Source organism: Homo sapiens, chromosome 4, assembly GCF_000001405.40.
Source record: "Homo sapiens chromosome 4, GRCh38.p14 Primary Assembly".
Taxonomy (NCBI): Eukaryota; Metazoa; Chordata; class Mammalia; order Primates; family Hominidae; genus Homo; species Homo sapiens.
The window spans coordinates 17025001-17044806 of NC_000004.12; the positions used below are offsets into that span (position 1 = coordinate 17025001).

At 42.4% G+C, this 19806-nt stretch overlaps 2 annotated features.

Annotated features, from left to right (window-relative positions):
* Positions 2073-3272: an enhancer, noted in NCBI's record as "P300/CBP strongly-dependent group 1 enhancer chr4:17028696-17029895 (GRCh37/hg19 assembly coordinates)". NCBI's record gives its function as "activates an origin of replication core promoter dependent on BRD2, BRD4, P300/CBP, MED14 and CDK7 cofactors, with strong dependence on P300/CBP, by STARR-seq in HCT116 cells {active_cell/tissue: HCT116}" and the evidence as "EXISTENCE:reporter gene assay evidence [ECO:0000049][PMID:35650434]".
* Positions 6323-6865: an enhancer, noted in NCBI's record as "H3K4me1 hESC enhancer chr4:17032946-17033488 (GRCh37/hg19 assembly coordinates)". NCBI's record gives its function as "activates a minimal SCP1, AML or CMV promoter by ChIP-STARR-seq in primed H9 embryonic stem cells {active_cell/tissue: H9 hESC(primed)}" and the evidence as "EXISTENCE:reporter gene assay evidence [ECO:0000049][PMID:30033119]".

Genomic DNA, 19806 nt, shown 5'->3' on the forward strand with positions numbered 1-19806 from the left:
TACCCCAGAGACTTGGTGGTTCAGTGGGCAATCAATCTCTCCCTTCCTCCAACCCCTGACCTCTTTTGCTTAAGCTATTTGAGTCAGGTCTTTAAAAACTGCATGGAAAGATATCTAAATAGCATACACTTTCACGGCTATTAAATAAGCCAAAGTGTAAAAATGATAATGACTGATCTGTTGGCAAGAGCATGGAAAAATAGACTCTTTCCTACACAACTTACAGAAATATAAATTGACTATATATATGGAATACATTAAATATATATAAATAAACTTAAAAATGTGCGTGTCCTAACACTCAAAAATCCCACTTTAAAATTTTATCTTAAATAATCAAGAATGTATGAGACAAATTTGTTAGCAAGAGTATCTACAATTTTCATTTGTAACATCCAAATGTTGGACATAATCTAAACCTACAATGGAAGATAAACCAGATAGTGATGCATTCATACAACACAAACTAAGCAGAATTTACAGTAAGATTGTGGTAGAATATTAGCATGTTAAAACATTCATAAAATATCACTAAGTAAAATCTAGACTATAAATTATAGATAGAGTATGATTTCATTCTCGTTTATGAAAATGGAGGGTTGTGTGCATGTAGAGAGAATGGGAAGCTATACGCTACTGTGTTACCAGTGGTGGAAATACCAGTACATTTTAACTTTTTCCTTTTTGATTACATTTACTTTTGAAAGCATGCTTAATTATCATGAGTTACAAAAGCAACATTTAAACAATGTCTTTTAAAAAATTACTTAAATGTTGCATAACAGAAAAATTAGAAAAACAGAGGGAAACACCGCACCCATAATCCCAGCACCATAATATAGTCATTCTCATATAACTGGATATTTTTCTCTGTAGTCTTTCTTTAGCTGCTGTTTTCTATTATGTTATAGCTATTAGAGTACACCTGCAATTTTGCATCCTGCCTTTGTCACTTAACATTTTGTTGATGTTTAGAGTTTTCCCAGATCATTATTAGATATTTCTATTCAACGTTTGTAATGGTAACATTCCATGGGTTGATCACTCTTCATTTTTTAACCATTCCCATATTGTTGGACATTTAGGCTGTATCCAATTATTCAAAACCAAACTGCATTGCTCTGTGTTTTGGATGATTTTATTAAGAGAAATCTCCAGAAGAGGATCATTTCATCTTCTAAGGAAGAACTCTTCCAAAAGCACTGCGTGAGTGACAGCTAATGGATGAAAGCTGTTGCCCATGCCCCCTGTCTACCTCTCACCAGAACTCCTAATTCCTGCAGAAACTGGAAGCAGCAACCTCTACGGAAGCCACTGTCAGGTGTAGTGGAATTGGAATCAGAGAGCTTCTGAAACCAAAAAGAGGGCTGGGACCAGTCTCAAGGTCTGCTGGGGAAAAGCTAAGAGGCAGGAGCAGAGCAAGATTGTTCCAGTTACTCCTAAGTGCAACTTAAGGCTTAGCGGCCATTATTTGAATCAATATCCGACCTGGAGCCCAGTGTGCCAAGAAGTTGAGCCATCTCCTTATGTCCAAGACTACAAAGTGGAGACTCTGTAATGGACAGGGAGGGCCCTTTTGCAGTGAGGGAGGGAGGGTAATGGAGGGAGGCTGGCCTTGGGTCAGGAGGCCTCAGTTCCACCTGCCAGATATGTGAAAAGCTTCCCGACAAAACACGGCTGATAATACATGGCCTGCCTGGAAGGCTGAGAGTCTTCAATGAGAAAATGGATGAGAGAGCCCTATAAATGTTAAGAGCACGGTGTCTTTGTGAGGGATTAACAAAGACCATGTTTGATAAGGGCAAGAAAATCACAGAGTGCTCTGCTCATTACGCTCCTGGCATCTGACAGCAAAGGGGGCTGTTTCTTCTTTCATTCCACACTGGCTGGGTGCCCGCTGGGTGCCAGGTTGTCTTTTAGGTACTTGGGACACAAAAGTGAACAAAACAGATAAGGCCGTTCATGGAACTTGACAGTCTACTGGGTAGGGACAAAGAAAATAAGTAAACAAATAAGTAAACAAGATAATTTCAGAGAATGGTATTAAGAAAAAGATAAAATGGGGCGATATGACAGAGAGTACAGGAATGAGGGATGTTGTTTCGTGCTAGCATGTAAGCAGAGAGTTGGGAAAAGGTGATAGTTGTGCTGAGGCCTGGGAGTTGTAAAGGTACAAGCCACCTGAAGACCTCAGGGAAGATGTTCCAGGCAGAAAGAACCAAAAGGGCAAGAGCTTGGAGCAGGAACACACTCTCAAGGTTTAAAGATCAGAGAGATGATGGAGGCAGAGGGGCTAGAACTTCCTCACTGCTCTAGGTAGATGTGTGGGTTCCCCACACAGCACAGGTAGGTGGGTATTCAACCTGCCTTCCCCAGGAATTCCCATGCCCTACTTGTTTAACAGCAAACTCTTTCATACACGTCCTGAGCACTGTGGTTTGCTCCTCCTCTCCCTGTGAAGTCTTCCCCAGCCACCCTAGGCTGGGTTCGCCTCATAATCTTATGGCCTCACGCTGTGCTTTTTCTCCACTAAGACTACGTCCAACGCACAGTGACATATATCTGCTCTCTTTCTGGTCTTCAGCGATTTTAATAGTAAATGGCTTACAGTAGTCACTCAACAAACACGTGGAGAGCCCAAAGGGAGTAGATCCCAAAATAGATTTTGGCAGAGTGTGCCAAGTGCTATAACGGAAGTATGAGCAATATGCTGATGAAACACAAGGTGGGTGGGAAAAGAGGAATGCATCATAGAATTTGAGTCATCATGTTGGAAGCATTGGAAATGGGAAAGAGGCATTCAAGGCAGAGCAGAAGCCTCCAGGAGTGAATGTGGGAAACCCAGTTTGAAAAATACTGGATAGTTATAAGTGCAGGTTGTAAGAAGCTGTGGTTGGTGCAGGTGGAGCACGGAGGAGGAAAATACATTGGAGATGGACTTCTTTATGGGGAAGTGGGAGCAGACAAGATTCCAGTCACTCACGTCTAAATGTTCTTTGTGATGCCAAAGGTTTTGGTCAGCAAGAAACAAAGAGCCTGGACTTAGAGGAGATGGATAGGGACTGAGCCTGGAGAGATCTGGAGTCAACCCCTCTAATCTGGGAAAGAACAAATACAAGAGCTATAGGACACAGGCTGAAGGACTCACTTCAAAAGCACCACTAAAACCCCAACTGTGCTGGGTTGAATATTGTTCCCCACCAAATCCATGTCCACCTGGAACTTCAGAACATGAACTTTGGAAGTAGGATCTTTATAAATGTAATTAGATCTGTTCAGATGGGTCATACTGAATTAGGATGTGCCCTTTCTAAGAAAAAGAAAAGATGCACAGAGACACACAGGGAAGAAGGCCATATGAGGATGAAGGCAGGGACTGGAGTGACACATCCACACACCAAGGAATGCAAAGGACAGCCAGCAACCAGCAGAAGCTACCAGACGCAAGGAAGGATTCTTCCCTCGAGTCTTCAGAGGGAGTGTGGCTCTGCTGACACCTCTATCTTAGGCTTCTGGCCTTCAGAACTATGAAAGAACATAGTTGTGTTGCTTGAGCCACTCAGCCCTAGGAAACTAGTACCCCAGCCCTGGGAGGCTTGGCTCTATGTGTGTCCCCACAGTTCACCAGTGTATCAGCAAAGGAAAGAAGCCTTTGCAGATCTCCCGGTCCTCAGTGCAGAAACTTGAGTGTGACAGGTGAACAACTTGACCAAACAAAGAGGGAGAATGTGAAGAGGAAAGAACCCAACTTGCGAATTGTAGGATACACCTCCAACTTCCGAATGAGTGCTCCAGCAACTCAGAAACAAAGGAAAGCATGTCACATGCTCACTTCTGTTGCTATGGCAAATCCATTCTCCCCTCCCTCATAACGCCTCCCCAGACCCTGCCACCCTTGACTAAAACTGTAAATATTTCCATAAATGTTTAGCACATAAAAATCAGGACTGCCCCTAGTCATCCTTATTTACCACTCCTATTTTAGAAACAAAATTAATTTGTACAATGTATCGAAGTGAATATGCCCTGAAGTCTAGAAAGTCAGTGAGCCAGAGAGCAAATGTTACCCAGCGAGCTCCATGGCTGGTTCTGTTGGCTGAGACAAAACTAGGGGGAAAAAGTTCATGGGCTCAGGAATTTGGAATTGCAGTTCTTGAACTTTAGTGTCAAGTAGACCTGTACCTGAAGGTTCTCACCTGCAGAATGAAGCGTCAAATTGCCTAAGCTAAGATTCTTTCCAGTTTGAAAATTCTCTGCCAGGAGGGCTGGGCTGGGAAAAAAAATAAAAATAAAAATAAAAAAAGCCATTTTTCAAGGTGTCGCTGGGCTAGTCAGTTGAAAATTCATGCTCCTGCAGTACAATTGCCACTCATTCAACATCGCACAGCTTGTCAGTAAATGTGGTAAAACTGCTACTTCCTCCTCCTGCCTCCTCTCTCATTCCTGGCTAAAATTCATTTCCCCGAGCCATGCGAACTCTGGACTTCTGGTCATGTATCCATGCTGCTTTAGTCAACCAGGAGGGTCTGGAAGAGGGGCTGTGGTCTGCCTCGGTGCTCCCGTCATGCAGAGCAGGAACTGAGGCGTAGGGAGATGATGTCATTGACCCAACGTCTTGAAGCTCTGGCAGAACCAGGATCTGAAACAGCAAAATAAATCACAACTGGAACCCAAGACTGTCTTAGCTGCACCTGATGCCACAGGGCCTCTCCTCTGTATTGCTCTGACTTCTCAATTCCAAAGCACCTTCCTCAGTCCATGTCAAAAATACGGATCACAAGAAGCTTGTCTTGTGTGTGCTCTTCTTTTCCTCCCTTCCCAGGGACTTGCTCCTAGATCTCTGCTCCTCTAGAACAGCTCTGCCCAGCCTGACATCTGCACTGCCCTAAACACCATGCTCATATTGAAAAGTCCCTACTATATTTACACCCTGTGTATTAGTCCATTTTCATGCTGCTATGAAGAAATACCCAAAAAGACTGGGTAATTTAAAATGAAAAGGAGGTTTAATGGACTCCCAGTTCCACATGGCTGGGGAGACCTCACAATCATGGCAGAAGGCAAGGAGGAGCAAAGGCATGTCCTACATGGAGCAGGCAACAGAACATGTGCAGGGGAACTCCCATTTGTAAAACCATCAGATCTTGTGAGATTGATTCACTACTAGGAGAACAGTATGAAGGGAACCACCCCCATGATTCAATTATCTCCACTTGGCCCTGCTCTTGACACGTGGGGATTATTACAATTCAAGGTGAGATTTGGCAGGGGACACAGCCAAACTATATCACCGTGCATGGCCACTCCTACTTGATCTGATCAATTTACCTATCCAAACACTTGAGAACCAGCTGTATTAAAGAGGCACGATTTGGCATTTTCCAAAGAAGAGCTAAAACAGTCTCTTGCTCCTACGGGCTGCTGGATAATCAGAGATTTCTGTCTCTAAGGAAGTGTAAACATCTTGGGGTACTTGTTAAAATAAACAGCTTTCTGAATCCCTTGGGGAGAGTGGATTCTGTAGGTCTGAGGTGGAAACTAGTTTTAATGCACTCCCAGGGGTTGTGGAGTGGGCCCCTCTGCTCTGGATCTACTTGGATCAACAGGCTCAAGTGGTCTCTTTGGACAACTGATTCACGCAAAGTCATGCCCAGGCTTTTTGATAACTTACTCTTGTCCAGGCAAGGAGTTTTCCTCCTCAGCAGTCTTTGAATTCCCTTCTCTTCCCTTCCACCTTGGCAAACATGAGCTTTATTTCATAAGAACAGTGACTCAACACTGACTCATGCTGACTTTGCAGCCCACCTTTCCTATCCTGAACTAATCAGGGCTTTTTTAAATTTCTTCAACCTCCTCTGAAATAGAAAAAGAAAGGAAGAACAGAGAATTTCTGACTGGTGCTCCTACTCTTTAATTTTACATACACACAACAAAATGCTTCTTCTCATCCTTTTTGCCCCTTCATGTACCTAAGTATAAAACTCAGCCCCATATCCAAGCTTAATACCAATACCATATCCAGTATTAATATACAAAGTATGCTTCTACAAACTAGTGGGGTCTTTGCCACAGAGGACCATATTGGTTCCCCCAAATAACCACAATATGATGGATAAATCATGATGGGAATAAAAGATCTCTGAGTTCTAGGGTTAAATGTTTTTGACTTCCCTTACTATCAAAGTTTTCCAGGGAAAAGAGCAGGATTGCTTCCCTGTTATTGTGGACTCCCTTCCCATGATCTTAAAAGAACAACTGGCCAGGCGCGGTGGCTCACGCCTGTAATCCCAGCACTGTGGGAGGCCGAGGCGGGCGGATCATGAGGTCAGGAGATCGAGACCATCCTGGCTAACACGGTGAAACTGTCTCTACTAAATATACAAAAATTAATTAGCTGGGTGTGTTGGCGGGCGCCTGTAGTCCCAGCCACTCGGGAGGCTGAGGCAGGAGAATGGCATGAGCCTGGGAGGCGGAGCTTGCAGTGAGTCGAGATGGCGCCACTGCACTACAGCCTGGGTGACAGAGTGAGACTCCATCAAAAAAAACAAAACAAAACAAAACAAAAAAAACTTCCACTCACTTCTCAACTTTCTGTCTCTCACTTGCATTCCTGCCCTTCATTTGTAATCCAGAGCTGCTGTTGCTTTGATTCCGGGCTTCTGGCTATCTTGGTGAACATTTCAGACTCCAGTGGAATAGACTAAAGGCTCAGTGGAATGCTACCTACAATGCTTCTTTCGCTCCAGCAAAAAACATTCAGAGAGGGGACGCCAGAGCCCAGCAGATTCACACAACAAGTGCTTCTGGAACACATTCTGCATTTCTCTCTCAGAAGAACCCACATTTCCACACTACCCAAGACCGCCTCACATTCAGAAAATTGTTATTTCTCTTTGGGGAAGCCACCTCCTCATCTATCTGGTTGGATATCTCTGCCTCAGCTCTAATACCAATCATTACCCGTGTCCTGAGCCCTTCCTTTCAAAGAAGATCCTGGCACCTCCCATTCTCCATGTCCCAAATGGAAACGATCAACTTCTCCCAGAAACCTGCTCCTCTTTCTAATCTACTTGCTTCCATCTAATGTCCAAAGTCCCCTTTTGAACCATGCTGCATTCATTCCCAAATACAAATGAACTAAGATAAGTTATTATGCACTTTTCTTTTAACCCGCACAAGGTACGAAGCAGGGCATACCAAGCACTCAATAAATACTGAATTAGAAGGAAAGCACTTAAGCAAAAAGTTGATGGAAAGTGTGAAAAAGGCAAGGGATTATACTCTTTTAACCTCCACTACAATGATTACTTTATAGAAAATGCTTTACTGATGGCAATACCCGATCTTTATACACAACTTTCTAACACACTTTCAAATACAGTCTCATTTAGTTCTCATCCCAGCAGTAGTTTAGGAAAAGTTCTGCAGTCGAAGGATCTGAATCCAAGCGTCAGTTTTAGCTCTTAACTTTAGTTTACCGAACAGGAACACACGGCATCAAGATGATGATGATTATAACTCACAGGGTATTTAAGATTCTAAGAATTATACCCTGAGTGTGAAAGTGCATTGTAAACCAATGACCTCCTCTAAAACTCTACCTTTGTGAAGTCACCTGTTAGAGGCAACATCTTTCTCTTTGTAGTCCTACTATGGGGTCCTACTATGCATAATCTTACTTAGGTAGCAATGAAATGACCCTACTAACCTTATTAATTTCTGTGGTCTCTGACTCTCACACAGTGAGGTTCTTTGATAATCATTTGTTGAATGAAAGCGTAAACTTTTAGCAAATGTGATCATTAGGACCATGTTTGCAATCTTATTTTCAGTTGAAATCCTTCATTTAAATTCAGGTCTCCATCCCTAATTGTGTTCTGAACTCTGATGGAAATGGAAGAGTGTGTTTAATTTTGTAAGAACACTAAAAAAAATTCCCATGTATCTGTTTAGACTTTTGCCCTTAAAAACAACAACAACAAAAATATATACAGTCATATGCTACTTAAAGACAAGGATAGGTTCTGAGAAATGGTATTGTTAGGCAGTTTTGTCATGCAAACATTATAGAGCATACTTACAAAAATGTAGATGGTATATGTATTTTTATGTATGTATATTTATTTCATATGGAAAACCAAATGTCCCAGCACCATTGTTAAATATGAATCATTTCCCCTACTTGATTTGCAATGCTAATATCAAGCGCCACGTATCAGGTTTCTCTATGTGCTCTAATATACTCTTATAGGACCACTATCATATATGCAGTCCATCATTGACCCAAATGTCATTTTGCAGTGCATGACTGTGTATAAATATCTGTCCATATATAAAATCATTATCCTGAGAAAAGCTTAGAGGGAGGAACTGAATCAGAGTATGAAAAAATGACCCCTAATTCCTGAACTAACAAAGAGTAAGTAATTAATCAATTTTTCAGAAGTTACTCATTGTTGGAAGTTAACCTGAAACTTGATCTCCAGTTATAACACTTGAGTGGTAAGATGATGTATGAAGTTTTACTTTTTATTTTTAGGGATCACTGCTGCTGTACTCCTCCTTCCAAGAAGTCCCTTAATTCAGGTCCAGCTTCTTTCACTCATTGAAATTTAGTAGTTGAGGTCTGCCTTCAACCCATAAAACCAACCTGTCACTGTGGAATAACTCACACAGGGCTGGGGAACAGGAAGACAACAATTGAGAAGCCAGATAAAAAATGCAACTGGGGTTCAACTTGAGCATCATTTGCAAAGTCCACGGCACACCTTCCTTATCCATGGCGTGTGTGCCCAACTGGAAATCAGGATGCCAGGACCATGCAGCTCCTTCTAGCTCCACAGAGCTGAAAGCTTCACTCACAGCTTACTCACTCCAGTTGCCTGCTGACCTTTTATGGGTTGCAACCTGCATGCCTGACGAACTGATTTTTTCCAGCTGTAGCTATATTTTCTACCTTCCTTGTTACTTAATTGATCCTAGCTGTGGTCCTGCAAAGAAGCCCTCCCAGACCTTGCAACATATGCTATATATCCTGTATGTACTCCCGTGTCCTGACAAGGAACATAAAAATCAGAGATGGCAGGAGACAAGGGGAGGGAAAAGTCAGCCAGAACACTATGAATGCAAATAACTTGGCTTGCCTCATTGAGTCTCTCAACCGCCTTCCGCTGCTTTCTGGACAAACTGACTTTCTACAAACAGCACATCTCTAGAGACTCAGATTTTCTTTTCAAATTTTAAAAACTGTAATCACCTACAGACCTTAAAAGGCAAAAGAAAAAAACAGAATAATAAATGCTTTCCTTCATTCATTCTTTGTTCTTTTGGCCATGTGGATTAAATTTCTGCTAAGTACTTGGCACAGTGCTAGCCTCCAGGGAAAAAGGTGAATTAGACAAAGTTTCTGCCCTGCTGTAGCTCACCGTCTTACAGGAGTGGAGACACAAAAATCAATAGCTCGATACTATGGGACTCGCCTTAACCTAGATCAGCAATTCTCAATATATGGTGAGGAAGCCCTGGGTATTTCTGAAACACTTCCAGGGGATCTGCGAGGCCCAACCTCTTTGCATAATAAAACTAACATGTTATTTGCCTTTTTCACCCTCTTTCTCCCATGAGTGTACAGTAGAGTTTTCCATAGGTGACATATAAAGTCACAACAGATAGAATGCAGAAGCAGATAGGGCAATGCAGCTGTATTCCATTCAGCCAGACATGAAAGAGATTTGCAACGTGGAAAATAATGCCATTCTCCTCACCATTGCTTTGTCTTGGAAAATATAGTCATTTTTTATAAAATGTATTATTTATGTCATTGTATAATTGGTTCACTGTTATTTTAAAATAAATTAATAAATAAATATATAAAGCTGTCTCAGAATTTATGTCTAACATAGTAAATACTGATAAATATAGCACATATGAACAGAAGCTCTTTAATAATACTTAATAATTTTGAAAGAGAAGACTGTCAAGAAGTTGCAAAATTAGTACTGAGAGATCCTATGTATCCTTTGCCCAGCTTCCCCCAATAACAGCATCTTATGTAACTATAGTGCATTGTCAAAACCAGAACGTTGACCTTGATTCAGTACCATTAACTAGAGATCTTACTTGTATTTCACCAGTTTTTACATGTATTCGTGTGTGTGTGTGTGTGTGTGTGTGTGAGAGAGAGAGAGAGAGAGAGAGTGGGGAGAGAGAGAGAGGAAGTTCTATGAAATTTTATCACACTTATAGATACATGTCACTATTAATTTGGATGAACATACAGAACTATTCCATCACCACTAAGCTATTTCCTCATCACCTTTTTTATGGTCAGATTCTCCTCCCAACCCTAATTCCTGTGTTCTCTGATCTTCTATCACTATGATGTTGTCACTTTTTAAGAATATTATACCAGTGGGAGCATACAGTATGAAACCCTCTGAAATGAGTGTTTTTTGCTTAACATAAAGCTTTTACAATCCATCCCAGCAGTTGTATCAGTAGTCCGTTCTTTTTTATTGCTAAGTAGTGTTCCATTGAATCAATAGATACCATTCAATGGAATGGTATCCATTGTGGATACAACAGTTTATTTATTCATTCACTCATTAAGAACATTTGCACAGTTTTCAGTGTTACAAATAAAATTACTGTGAACATTTGTGTACAGGTTTTGTACATATATGTGTTTTTATTTCTCTAGTCTAAATACTTAGGACTGTGCTTGCTGGGTCATATGGGGAATGTGTTTAACCATATAAGAAACTGCCTTATGTTTCCACCATGAGTATACTATTTTTTCTTCCCATTTGCAATGTACGAGAGACCCAGGTGCTTCACATCTTCACCAGTACTTTTTTTAAAATTTTTTTATTTTTTTATTTTTTATTTTTATTTTATTTTATTTTATCTTTTATTTTATTTTTTCTTTTTTGAGACGGAGTCTCGCTCTGTCGCCCAGGCCGGACTGCGGACTGCAGTGGCGCAATCTCGGCTCACTGCAAGCTCCGCTTCCCGGGTTCACGCCATTCTCCTGCCTCAGCCTCCCGAGTAGCTGGGACTACAGGCGCCCGCCACCGCGCCCGGCTAATTTTTTGTATTTTTAGTAGAGACGGGGTTTCACCTTGTTAGCCAGGATGGTCTCGATCTCCTGACCTCATGATCCACCCGCCTCGGCCTCCCAAAGTGCTGGGATTACAGGCGTGAGCCACCGCGCCCGGCCTATTTTTTTTTTTGAGACAGAGTCTTGCTCTGTCACCCAGGCTGGAGTGCAGTGGCGCAATCTCCGCTCACTGCAGGCTCCGCCCCCCGGGTTTACGCCATTCTCCTGCCTCAGCCTCCCGAATAGCTGGGACCACAGGCGCCTGCCACCTCGCCCGGCTAATTTTTTGTATTTTTAGTAGAAACGTGGTTTCACCGTGTTAGCCAGGATGGTCTCGATCTCCTGACCTCGTGATCCGCCCGCCTCGGACTCCCAAAGTGCTGGGATTACAGGCGTGAGCCACCGCACCCGGTCCTAATTTTTAAGACAGGGTTTCACTCTGTCACTAAGACTGGAGCGCACTAGTGTGACCATGGTTCACTACAGCCTCGATCTCCCAGGCTCAAGCGATCCTCCCCCCTCAGCCTCCTAAGTAGCTGAGACTACAGGCATGCACCACCACACTCGGCTAATTTTTAAAAATTTTGTAGAAATGAGGACCCACTATGTGCTCAGGCTGGTCTGGAACTCTTGGGCTCAAGTGATCCTCCCACCTCAGCCTCCCAGTGTGCTGTGCTGGCATTCCAGGTGTGAGCAAATGTGCCTGGCCACCAATACTTTTTATTGTCAGTATTTTTTATTTTGGCCAGGCTAATAGGCATGTAGTAGTAATTCATTTTAGCTTGTATTTGAATTTCTCTAAGAGTTAATGATGTTGAACATCTCTTTATGTACTTATCCTATGTTTTTGGTTAAATGTCCCTTCAAGTTTTGTCCATAGATTGGGTAGTCATTAGATTGTATGTTGTCTTACTGTTGAGTTCAAAGGGTTCTTTTATATTCTGCATACAAGTCTTCTGTAAATATATGATTTGCAACTATTTTCTTCTAGTCTCTGATTTTTTTAAATCCTCTTAACAAAAGTTTTAAATTTTGACAAAGTCTAACTTGTTGATATTTTTCTTTTACAGATTATGCTTTTTGGTGTCAAGTCTAAGAACTCTTTGCCTGGCCCTTGGTCAATAAAGATTTTCTCATAAATAATTTTTAAGCATGCGAAGTGTCCTGAGACCAAAAAGGTTGAGAACTGCAGGCCTAGGTGCATGTACAGTGTTTTCAGAGTATAGAAAAAGAATCTTTTATTGGCACTTGTTTGTAAAGAAGACAGAGAAGGTGGTAGGAAGAAGATACAGAACCAGACTCTACAGAGAAGGTGAATGCCCAGTCAGAATGTGGGGTCATGGGGGCAGGAGCTGGGTCTTAGGTCTGTATTTTTCCTTCTTCCTTTCTTGCTTTCTTTTTTTACATCCTTAGCACCTGGTATTGAGACTGGCACATAGAAGGATGGGACAACGGCATCTCATAGAATACAAGCAATGAAGCAAAGCTGAGCGGCTGTGGAAATTCACAGCATGTTTGGAAACAGCAAGCCTTCCAGTGTGGTTGAGACATAGGCACATGCAGAGACTGGGGAGTAGAGGTGAGAGATGAAGGAGGAGAGGTGGGGAAGGGGTAGGCTGTGAACAGGCCTCATGTGCCCTGCTGAAGGGTGTTTCTGTATCCTTCTTGTACTGCTTTTCCATTCTAGACTATAGCTTATTGCAATAAGTTAATTACAAAACTCTTTGTCAGATAACAAAAACTTTCCAACACTAGCTACAGAGGCAAGATCTCCTGCATTTTATTGAGGTGAAAAAGGAATAGGAAGTGGGGCAAGGAATAAGCTTATTTTTTTCCTTCCTATGTGCTAGGCATTATAATACGTACTTCATAGCTCCCCCTGAGGATCAGAGACTGGTTAGTTTTTCATCAAAACCCTGTTGCTTTTGGGAGCATACAGGTAGGCTCCATTGCCAGCCTCCCTTGCAAGTAGGTATGGTCAGTGGAATCCGAGCAAAAGTGAAATCAGGTCTTGCACACAGAAATTGTCAACACAATCTGCCATGCTCATTCTCTTTCCTCAGATTGTCACAAGATGGGTGCAAAGGTGAGCCTGAGCCTCCGCATTGGAGGAGAGTTGCCCATATCAGGAGCCCCTGTTTGGGAATTTATATGAGCAAGATATAAACCTCTACTAGGGAAAGCCATTCACGTTAGAAATTTTGTTATAGCAGCAAACATGACTTTAAGTAACACATGCCTCGAGGAGTGTGGTCACTTTTCTGTGCCTCTTCTGCTTCTCACACTCACTAGGGCTTTCTACTCAGCTCTTTGGCCTTAGAGGGGAACAAACATCTTTCAGGTTGGCTCTTAAGGCCCCATCCTCTGATTCTATCCAAAATGAGAGGACAAGAGCTTCCTGAACTGCCTGGCAGGTGCCTTCTGGGAGTCCAACTGACTTTAACATCTCAAATTTTCTTCCTATGCTTCCTAATCAGGGTCAATAGCTGGGAGTGGGAGGAATGCCTCAACTCCTTAGAAAAGCACGTAGGCCCTTTGTAATCTGATCCTTCCCCGCCGTTCCCCCTTCACTTCTTGCCTAACCTCCTTGCACAGCCTGGACTTCCTCCTCTGAATTCTCACCACACTCTGTTCATACCTCGACTCGGATCTTTTCCTGCACTGCGCAGCTCTTTTGTGTTCTGTGTCTTTGAGGAAGCTGAGCTCCTTGAGGAAGAAGACCTTATTCTACTAACACTGCAGAATCCATGACTACACCTGGAACATCTGTGACTGTCAGACATTTTGAAAGTCACTGAAATATAAGAAACCCATAGACAGAGCATTGCCCCTGCCTGTCCTTTATCTCTCTGATATCAGCTCTTAGAGCTCCTTGGCTCCCTCCTTCCCCTTCTGCCACACTCATTTCCTGTTCCCTCTGCCAGGAATGAGGGTCAGGGTTAGGGCTACAGCTATGGTCTTCCCCAGATAGCTCCCTGGCCTGCTCCTTCTGCTCCTGCAGGCTGCATTGACCTGCACTTTTTCCGGGGTCTTCATGTAATATACACATTATAATTGCCATGGCTTCCTTCCTTAAAGCGCCCTCCCTCTCCTCTTTACCTGCTTCATTTTCCTTCAATGCACTTCTTACTGTCTGACATAATTTATGTCAGTGGCTCACGCCTGTAATCTCAGCACTTTGAGAGGCCGAGGTGGGTGGATCAGCTGAGGTCAGGAGTTCGAGATCAGCCTGGCCAACATAGTGAAACCCTATCTCTACTAAAAATACAAAAATTAGCTGGGCATGGTGGTGTGCGCCTGTAATCCCAGGCACTAGGGAGGCTGAGGCAGGAGAATTGCTTGAACCCGGGAGGCGGAGGTTGCAGTGAGCCAAGATCACGCCACTGCACTCCAGCCTGGGCGACAAGAGTGAGACTCCATTTCAAAACATAAAAGTAAAAAATAAACTCTATAACACCTAACACTAGAGTATCTAGGGCACTGGGATGACATTGATTTTGTTTTTCACAAATCAAATTAAAAAGTGAAAACTGTGATGGAATATAACACTGTTCTCCCTAAGACCAAATCACACTTATTTTTTTTACTTAACTATTTAGCATTTACTGAGCATCCGTTATGTACCTGTTCTTGTGATACACTCTGAGAATAAGAATACGAAATATAATGCCTACTCTCAAGGAGTTTCTGTTCGGGGAGAGATAAAAGTAACAGTGACATGGTGTCCTGCATTCAGAGATGACGTGTAAATATTTTCAGTGCTGTTTGATGAGTGTTATAGTTACAAGGCCAGATCCATTTAAAACTTCTTTTGCATTAGTACCATATCTATTGTAATTTTTGTTTTAGTAAATATGGTCCTAGGGTGAAGATTGTGAAACCAAAATACACTGAGGTCATAAAGGAGAGAGCAGCCTCGCCTGTATGGATCAGAAGATAGTGAACAATCAAAAGAAGAGGTGATAGTCAGGATGGGTTTTGAAGGATGAGTTGAAGTTCACAGAAAGAGGAGAGGAGAGGATTTCAGTAAAAGTAACACCATGCTGTGAGACATAAAGCCAAGGAATAGCCATAAAAATGAAATGATAACCTGGATCTAAACAGCAATTCATGCCATTGTTACAGGGCACTGAATGGCTAATTAGTGACCAAATAAATGCTACGTGGAAGAACAGGAAGGGACGTGGAAAAGGGAAGGATTGCTTTAAGCTCAGAGAAAGCTTCACGGAGAAGGTCAGGTTTGAAGCAAAGACAGAAATAGTTACAAAGGCTGAAGATGTTTGAGGCTTTTCTTTTTAATCCATTGGGATAGAATTCTTTAAACTTGAGTATTAAGAAACTCGTCTTGGAGATAATTTCTTAGCCTGGGAAATGGGCTTCCTCTTCTTCTTGGAGAAATAGAAGACAGCTAAAGTATTTTTCTGTATATGCATTGCATCATCTGTATAAAAGCCCTTAGGACAAAGACTTGACAATTTCTTATGGCCTCAGTATCCCTGAGAAGGTGTTTCAGACTAATGCTTCCTGTTATGCTGAAAGAGGGTATAGAGAGCAGTCCCTTCGGTTGAATTCATCACAGACCACATCAGGCCAGGTATAGATCAAGGCTAACTGTCTCCTGCTCCTTCTCGTCATAACATGGAGAGAGGAAAAAGATTGAAATTCAAATAAAGCATGATTAGAAAAATCTGTATTTCATATAAGCACATAGGTAAATGCCACTTTTTATTTTTTGGTTCTTTTTGGCAGCAGAAACTAAAAGAACAAAGAATACTAATGTATATTTGAACAGAATTAATTTTAAAGTAGATTTGAAAAACCAAATTCTTACCACCCCTTTAGTTTTCTCTTAGCGGTGTTCGGGGCTCCCGGGGGGTAGGTACAGTAAGCACCCTAAAATACTTTAAAACTCAACAAACCAGTCACAGCATTAGGTTCCATGTCAAAAATATTTCATGGGCAGAACATTTTCACTGGAAAATACATAGGAGAATGGGTGAGGGAAAGAAATGATTTTAAAAATAAAAATATTTTATTGTATTTTTTCTAATTAAGATGTTTTAAAGAAAGACCAGAGCTGAGGTTTGTCATTTGGCAGTCAGCAGACGTTGGCACTTGCCTCATTTCAGGTTAAAGCCCAGACTGCCTCCTAACTCCTTGTTCTTTATGGTCAGAAAATGGGATTTTAGACAGTAAATTATGTGTCTGCTTATTTATTGAAGCTTTCTAATCGGCTTCTCTTTCTGTCTTTCCTGGTGTGCCCAAGAAGGAGCTATCTACTGAAAAGTTGGCCAACATGATTTTGTTTCAGTAGGGATATATTACGCCCCTAGGATATATGAGCCACCGTAGTGGACGCTGCAGTTGCACACACATAAGATATTCTCATTTTTGCCTAAAGGGTGCCATAATTGCAGGGTGAGATAGGAGTGTGAAATGTTGTGGAAATGAGATGAAGGGCACTGGGCCTAACCTGGGGGTACCAGGGAAGATGTCCTGGATGTGGGGCAGCCTGAACTGAGACAAGAGAGCCAGAAAAATCACCAGGGGCCTGACAGGGGCACTTCCAGAGAGAAGGAAGTTCCATTTTCAGAAAGCAAGGGACAACGTGGTGACTCTAGGCAGCCACAGATAGGTTCCAAAGCCCAGAGCAAAGAGCACCCTGGGGAGGCAGGAGACAGCATCATGGGGAACTGGAGGCCAGCGTACAGGCCTCAGCGCACGATGACCAGGAGGGTTCTGGCAAGAACAGGCTGAAGGGACCACTCACAGAGCAGAGTCCCAGGAACTAACAAGGGATGTCAAGGCATCCAAGCACCAGGTGAAGCTTGTACTACCTCTGGGCCTGGGGGAGCAAGGGAAGGATAGTGAGCCCTGGAGCTGTGGGGAAGTCACCCACTGGGAGATGTTGTTGAGAAAAGACACAGCCATGGCTGGGATCCTGGCGCTGCAGCAGGGATGGGAAGGGAAGCCATCTGTTATTCGTCCATTTTCACACTGCTATAAAGAACAACCTAAGACTGGGTCATTTATAAAGGAAGGAGATTTAACTGACACAGCTTCGCATGGCTGGGGAAGCCTTAGGAAACTTACAATCATGGTGGAAGGCGAAGGAGAAGCAAGCACCTTCTTCTCAGTGCATCGGGGGGAGGTGGGTTAGTGTCACACCCTTTTAAACCATCAGATCTCATGAGAACTCACTATCACAAGAACAGCATGGGAGAAACTACCCTTATGATCCAATCACCTTCCACCAGATCCCTCCCCTGACACATGGAGATTACAATTTGAAATGAGATTTGGGTGGGGACAGAGAGCCAAACTATATCACCCTACCTTCCACTCTCTCTCCTCCTGCCCTCAGTCTCTTCCCAGCACCTCTCGCCATCCAAAGCCAACCAGGAGCCTGGGGGCAAAAGAGCCTTTGGGAGGTGGGGGTCAGCCCCAAGCACCAGGCTTCCCCCTTACAGGTTCTGCATCCAAACTGCAGCCAGCATCAGTGTGGACCCCCCACAGGTACAAGGAACCTTAGTGAAACATTTTAAAAGGACACAAATACCAAGTGACACATGGTGTTTAGGTAACTATAACAAACATGAGTAAATTTCTCTATGTAACTTTACGTAACTTTTCTATATTTTGTTAAAAGCATACACCCAAAATATCATCCTAGTGTTTCAGGCCTAGATCTATTATTCCTATAAACCCCTGAATATTGGATCCTGTTACTGGTTTATGGGAATATAGCTGAGCTTTTCTTAGTGGTTTATATGTTTAGGTGAAGGAAGTTAAGGGGACAATGTTGGTGGAAGAATAGAAAATGAAGAAGGGAAGCATTTGCTGAACACTTACTAGGAGCCTATATATGGACTTAATCCTCCCAACCACCACCCAATTTTTTTTCACACAATGTACGTAGGGTTCCATCAGAAACTCATTAAGTAACTCATGGAGCCAGGATTCAAGCCTGCCTCGCTAACACCAAAGCCCATATTCTTTTCACAAAACCATGATGTCTTTGTGCTAACATTTCATGTTGGTCTTACAAGCCAAAGGCACCAAAATGGGCAAAAATATCTTTTCTTTTTAATTTTTTTTTTTTTTTTTTTTGAGACGGAGTCTTGCTCTATCACCCAGGCCGGAGTGCAGTGGCGCAATCTCAGCTCACTGCAAGCTCCACCTCCCGGGTTCACACCATTCTTCTGCCTCAGCCTCCTGAGTAGCTGGGACTACAGGCGCCCGCCACCACGCCCGGCTAATTTTTTTGTATTTTTAGTAGAGACGGCGTTTCACCGTGTTAGCCAGGATGGTCTTGATCTCCTGACCTTGTGATCTGCCCGCCTTGGCCTCCCAAAGTGCTGGGATTACAGGTGTGAGCCAAAGCGCCCAGCCTTCTTTTTAATTTTTTTATTTCCATAGGTTTTGGGGGAACAGATTGTATTTGGTTACGTGAGTAAGCTCTTTAGTGGTGATTTGTATACCCTGAGCAGTATACCCTGAACGCAATTTGTAGTCTTTTATCCTTCATCCCCTTCCCACCTTTTTCCTCTGAGTACCCAAATTTCACTGTGTCATTCTTATGTTTTTCTTTTGTTTTTTCAATTTTTTTTTTTTTTTGCCATTGGTCCCTAAACTTCATGTATTACAGGTAACATCTCATTCATCCTCAATCCCTGATGCTTTCTTTAGAAAACGAATGCTAGGTCATAAACATATTTTTAAACAGTCTTTCAATAACTGTTAAATGATTGCCACTTGGGGTGGGGGGACATCTTTCTACAGGGACCATCTGTGTGAAGAACTCCTATAACAAGACAACAAAAGCCTGCTTTTATAGGCTTCTATTTTATTATGAAGAGTTATTTCTTCTCAGGGATTATACCCATAAAACATGATCTAAAAAGAATACAAAAAGGAGGTATATGAGTTCTATTTTACCTGTTCTGGTTCAAGGGCTATATGAGTTTCCCACTTCTGGAAAAGATAACATTTTCTAGAAGTGTAAAACTCATATAGCCCTTGATTCATGCTTTTCTGTGGAATCCAATTTGTCCTCACATGTGTCACCTGAAAAATCATCCGCATAACTATTATGGGGGAGAGGAATAATCCTTGTGACTTGACAATTCACACATGCTGAGGGAACTCAGTTTCAAACAGCCAACTTCACGTTAAACAAGTCAGATGGGAAAGACCAGATGTTTCCACAGGCTTTCTCTATTTATTCATTCATTAAAGTTGGTACTTTAAAACCATCTGAACTTCCAGGTACTCCATGAAGCATGTTTTATTATGCAGACTCCTATTAAACTTCAAAACAGACCTAAGTCAAGGCCTTGGTCCAATGTTTAATACACATGATAGTACACTTAACAAATCTGAGCCCTTCATACCACTACTGTTCTTAAGCCATTTCTAACAGTCTTGAGTGTCTTCCACTTAACTGGACTCTTAATTTCAAGTCTCTGCATGCTTCATACATTTCTTCTCCCAGCTGGTACACTCGTTCATTCAGTCACCAAACACTCACTCGGTACCTCACAGTCTGTTCCTTCTCTACACTCATCTCATGCAATTCTCATATCAAACTCCAGCCATCCTAAACCACTGTGGTCCCCAAGAGGTCAGTGGCACTAAGTAAAAACTTTCAGTCTTTAAACCATGCATCAAAATACAGTTTTTGTAGCCTTTGGTTGGATGAATGGAAA